This window comes from Homo sapiens, chromosome 19 (genome assembly GCF_000001405.40).
Source record: "Homo sapiens chromosome 19, GRCh38.p14 Primary Assembly".
In the NCBI taxonomy this organism is placed as follows: Eukaryota; Metazoa; Chordata; class Mammalia; order Primates; family Hominidae; genus Homo; species Homo sapiens.
In genome coordinates this window covers 19,704,977-19,710,471 of record NC_000019.10, presented here as the reverse complement: position 1 = coordinate 19,710,471, position 5,495 = coordinate 19,704,977, and positions in this window count along the sequence as shown.

The following is a 5,495-nucleotide window of genomic DNA, read 5'->3' as shown; positions in this document are numbered from 1 at the left end:
TAAATTATAACATTTTTCTTTAAAACTGGAACATATTCTCATTATGCTTTCCAAAGGACATATTGATTTAGATGTGACTCATTCTTCAGTGGATTCTACAGAAGAAACCATATGAGAGCTAATTTCCAATTCAGCAACAGCATTTTTTACTTCTGTAGTTATTTTTTTCTATCCAATCTGGCTGAGTCTTGGTTGAGTAGTTCATGCTGCTATTTGAGGTCTCTGGGTATGAGGTAGGGATCCTTAAGTTTTCTCTCATAATATGTCCTCTGTTGAGACCTACACTATTAAGATTTTCAACACAAGGTAACTCTTGGACTGGCCTTGTAGTAAAAATGGAGAGTAAACATTTGACGCACTTTGTCTGTAGAAGCTTGGTGCACACTGCTGCTGGTATCTCATTCGTTCTGTAGATGGACTTCTAATTTTTCTCTTTCTTGTCTTGCTCTTTCTTCAATCTCTCATTTAAACTTCTCTACATATTCTATAGCACGTTCATTTCCATATGACTTTTTAGATTTACTACTTCTGTTACAGGCTTGCCAATGCACCACAGTGTAGCAGTTTTTTGTTTTCTGAGGTACTATGTGGAGTTATTTGTCTTACTTCCAAGAAGATTAAGGAATGCAGACACAAGGGTGAGATTGGAGCAAAAGTTTAATAAGCAAAAAAAGAAAGCTCTGTGCAGCAGAGAGTGGAGCCCAAATGGGTTGCCCACTATGAGGCTGGGTCTGGGATTTTTATAGACTGGAAAGGGGAAGAAATGTGCTGACTAGTCTGAAGGCTGTCTTGGCAAAGCATGATTCAGCCTGGCCCAGGACCTTGGCCTGGGACCAATCAGAGGCTGAAGTGATGATTCATAGAGGCTAAAGAATGTTTAAAAAAAGGAAGTGCCCACCAGAACCCACCAGAGCCCACCAGGTATATGCCCATAAAAGGAGTAGAGGCTATTTCCTGGAAGCCCACTAATTATACAAAGGACTAAGGCATTTCTATGTTGGGCCTTGTTCCTTTATTTAAGTGGGCTAAAGGTTTGTGCAAGTTTCCTTATCTGAGTGGGCTAAAAGTTCTATCTGTGCAGCTGTGGGCATATCTCTAGGCATGACTCCCTGTGCTAATTATTATTATTTTTTAATCCAATCAGAGACCTTGTTATATGTGGGAATAAGGCACTAACCAGTGGGTCGGGGGCTCTCCAAAAACCCTTCCCTTGCTGTTTACCTGAGGCAAGCTAGCTAACTCCTCTCACTTCTTGTTCCAACACCTTTTTATTCTTCTCAAATTCTTTACATTTCTGTTGTATCGTTTTCATAGATAATAATTCCTGTTGAAGAACTTGATTGTTTTCAGCCAGATACAGACATTTTGAAGATGCACCTTCCAGTTCTGCTATAAGATTATCAGTCTTATGTTTTATCTTTTTAATCTGAATATCCATTTCAAGTTGACTGGTTTTTAAATATCCGTGGAATCTAAACTCTTCAGTTTCATATTCATTTAACTTTTCTGTCATTTCTGAGTTTCTTGTGCATCCTAGTTCATTTTGAGACCATGAAACCATGCACACATTTAAGAGCAGCTTCTTGAATGTAAGCAATATGGAAATGTCTTCAAGTACATATGCAACCCTTTCCACTGCCTTAGGACAAATTGAAGGACTGAGGAGAAAGGACTTGGGTCCCAACAGGCCTTTCTTGGAACCCCGTCTGAAGTTAAGAAACACTCCCAGCCCTTAGCTTACGTACGTGACTGCACAGAATTGAGAGGGCTCCCACAATCTGCCTTTGAACTTTTCATCAGTGTCCTTGGGTCAGATCTTTGGGGATGCTGTGGTTCTGAAAACAAAGGTACATCCCACAGTTCTCCAGTGGGATCTGCCTGTGGACACCCTAATTCATGGCTGTCAACATCATGTTATTCCAAGGCCGTCTGGAGGTCATGTCCAGCTCCGTTTCCCATCCAAACCCACACTGTGGATTCTTGTTGGTAAATGCATTTAAAAGTTCACACTAAGGCCGGGCACGGTGGCTCATACCTGTAATCCCAGCACTTTGGGAGGTCGAGGTGGGCAGCTCATGAGGTCGGGAGATTGAGACCATCCTGGCTAATGCGGTGAAACTCCATCTCTGCTAAAAATACAAAAAACTAGCGAGGTGTGATGGCACGTGCCTGTTATCCCAGCTACTCATGAGGCTGAGGCAGAAGAATCACTTGAACCCAGGAGGCGGAGGCTGCAGTGAGCCAAGATCACACCTCTGCACTCCAGCCTGGGTGACAGAGACAGACCCTGTCTCAAAAAAAAAAGAAAAAGAGAAAAAAAATAAATAAATAAATAAAAGTTCACACTAGACCATTTTTCTGTGACAACCCAGGTAGCTCTAAAGTGAGGGCTGAAGAAGCTGTGGCAGAATGTGTGTCATGCCCCTTGACCATACAAGATCCACTGTCCCATAACCACCAGCTCTGCACCAACCACCACAGAAGTCTCAAAACCAACTGTGGCATCATAGAGACATGCCCTACCATGTCCCAGCTACAGAACACAGTCAGACGAGATCAGGCACGTTCAGGGTAGTATGGCCATAGACTGCAGGACACGATCAACTTCTTACCTTCCCTAATTTGCCCACCCCAGATTTTCTGGCACATTCCACCTGGCTTAGGCACTGACAATGACAAGGTTTCTCCTCAGTGCGTGTCACGTGTGCTGCTGCAGGGCTGGTTTCGTAGCCTTGCCTCCAAGGCCAGCACTTAGTGCTTCGTGGAACAGAACCCACCCTGCAGAACTCCAGCCTTGTGGTATACGGGAAGCCGCTATATCAGAGAGGCGGCACCGGCCATGGAGCCGACTCGCTTCATGTCACTCCCAGAATGCAAGGTGTACTGAACTCCCAAGAAACTGTCCTGACAGCACCGAAGAGTTCCTCCTTTGCTGAGCTGTGCAGCCATGGTAGGTGTCAGGCCCTTCCTTTGGTGGAGGCAGTGCCCACTGTTACCTGGATAGCAAGTCAGAGTGTCCTGCCAGGGATGTGGCAGGAATGAGGGAAGCCAGCTCACCATCCAACCTCACAACAACTTCCTGTCTCTCCCTGGATACCAGAAGTGATATTTCTGTCAATTCAAGATGTTTAGTCTGAGTTTTGTAGGCCTCCATCCTACCCCAACAGCAGATGTGGGTCAGGGGGCAGCCTTGCAAGGCTTGAGCATGGTGGGGTCCCGTGAGGCCATCTGGGGCGAGGTCTGCTGGCAGATGAGCCCTTAGTGAAGGTGAGAGCTACCAGGAAGAGCTCAGAGGAGGGCATGCAGCTGAGCCATGAGATCCACGCCTTTGCTGCCCTCATTGTGCTCTCAGTGGAAAAGCAAACTGACACACGGTCAAGTCATGAGGGATGTTTCTGGAATCATCTACAATTTATAACAGTTGAAGGGCTGGAGCAGCAGCATCAATCCATTTCCAGCCCTTTTGCATCCTTGAACTCCCATTTTCTACTTTTACAGAAAAGCACTTCTTAGAGTCTATATGCTCAAGTATTGTAAAATGTCTTCCCCATCAGCATGGGCTAAGGAGCCACTTTTTGTGAGAGGCTTGGGGGCCGGAAGCACCTCTCTGCCACATGGGATGTGGGTGAGAACAATTCAGTCTTTGAAGATTAAGTGTATGTGAGCTTATGGCGAGGTTTGTGTAAAACCTGTTTGTGTGTCTGTTTGAGTCCTACAATTCAATAAGTGTTTTTTTGTTTTGTTTTGTTTTTTTGAGACAGAGTTTCGCTCTTGTTGCCCAGGCTGGAATGCAATGGCATGGTCTTGGCTCACTGCAACCTCTGCCTCCCGGGTTCAAGCAATTCTTCTGCCTCAGCCTCTGGAGTAGCTGGGATTACTACTCCACCACGCCTGACTAATTTTTATATTTTTAGTAGAGATGGGGTTTCATCATGTTGGCCAGGCTGGTCTCAAACTCCTGACCTCAGGTGATCCACCCACCTCCCAAAGTGCTGGGATTGCACCACCATGCCCGACTAATTTTTATATTTTTCGTAGAGATGGGGTTTCACCATGTTGGCCAGGCTGGTCTCAAACTCCTGACCTCAGGTGATCCGCCCACCTCCCAAAGTGCTGGGATTACAGGCATGAGCCACCACACCTGGCCGATTCAATAAGTATTAATCTCCTTGATATAACAGGTTCTCTAGTTGGTGTAATGAACAAATCTACACTAATATCCCTGTCTCCTCCAACCTGACATTCTAGAAGAGAACATGAGAATAAGCAAAAATATACAGTAGATCATAGTGGTTATTCCTCAGGAAGGAGAGAAACCTGGAGTAGAGGGGGCAGGCCTGGGGTCTGTGTGTCTCTGCAAGCATCTGTTGGTATCTCTGGGCCATTTTTATCTGTGAGTTTGTGAGTTTATGTGTCTGTCTCTGGGTGTGTCCACCTGTGTGTACAGTGAAAATGGTTATGATCTCTTGTTGGTCTGGGAGGCTGTGGGGGCTGTGTGTGTATATTTTTTAATCTAGATTGCTTTCACTTCATTTTCTTGCCTGATTTCCCTGACAGCATCTCCCTTAACACATAGAGTAAAACTAGTTAGGGCCGGGCGCAGTAGCTCACGCCTGTAATCTCAGCACTTTGGGCGGCCAAGCGGGCAGACCACTTGAGTCCAGGAGTTTGAGACCAGCCTGACCAACATGGTGAAACCCCGTCTCTACTAAAAATACAAAAATTAGCTGGGTGCGGTGGCATCTGCCTGTAGTCCCAGCTACTTGGGAGGCTGGGACAGGAGAATCACCTGAACCTCTGGGAGGTGGAGGCTGCAGTGAACTGAGATGGTGACACTGCACTCCAGCCTGGACAACAGAGTGAGAACTCCGTCTCAAAAAACAACAGCAACAACAACAACCTGTTAGTGCATACATCCTTTTTTTCCTGATCCAGTTTTTCACCATCAAAATGATGTGGGTTTTTCATATATGGCATCAATTGAGATAATTGTCATTTTCCATCATTTTGCTAATGTGGTATATGACAATGATCAGTGTTCATATTTTCAACCATTTTTATGTTCCAAGAATAAATCTCACTTGGCTATGTTATGTAATGCTTTTAATATGTTGCTTCCTATGGTTTGCTGGTGTTTATTTCAGGATTCCTGCATCACCATTCACAGTAGGAATTAATGCAATCTTCCTTGCTGTCAAGCCATTTCACAGCTGCTTGTGAGTCCTGCCCTGAGACCTCAATTATGTAATAAGCCTTTTTATACTCACTCACTATGTTTCTGCCACATAGAACCACATGTTCTGCGTGTCAACATCAGAACCACGTTTTCAGGTGACACTGGCAGTTGTCACCATGAACAAGATGTCTGGATGCTGGTCACCACGCCACAGGTCTGTTCTCTCGTCCAGGTTGCTAACCTGCTCTGCTGCCCAGCAGCCAGTGTGTACTTTGAGCTGCTGCTTGCTGCCCTGTGTTGCATTGCTGAGGCCTAGCCA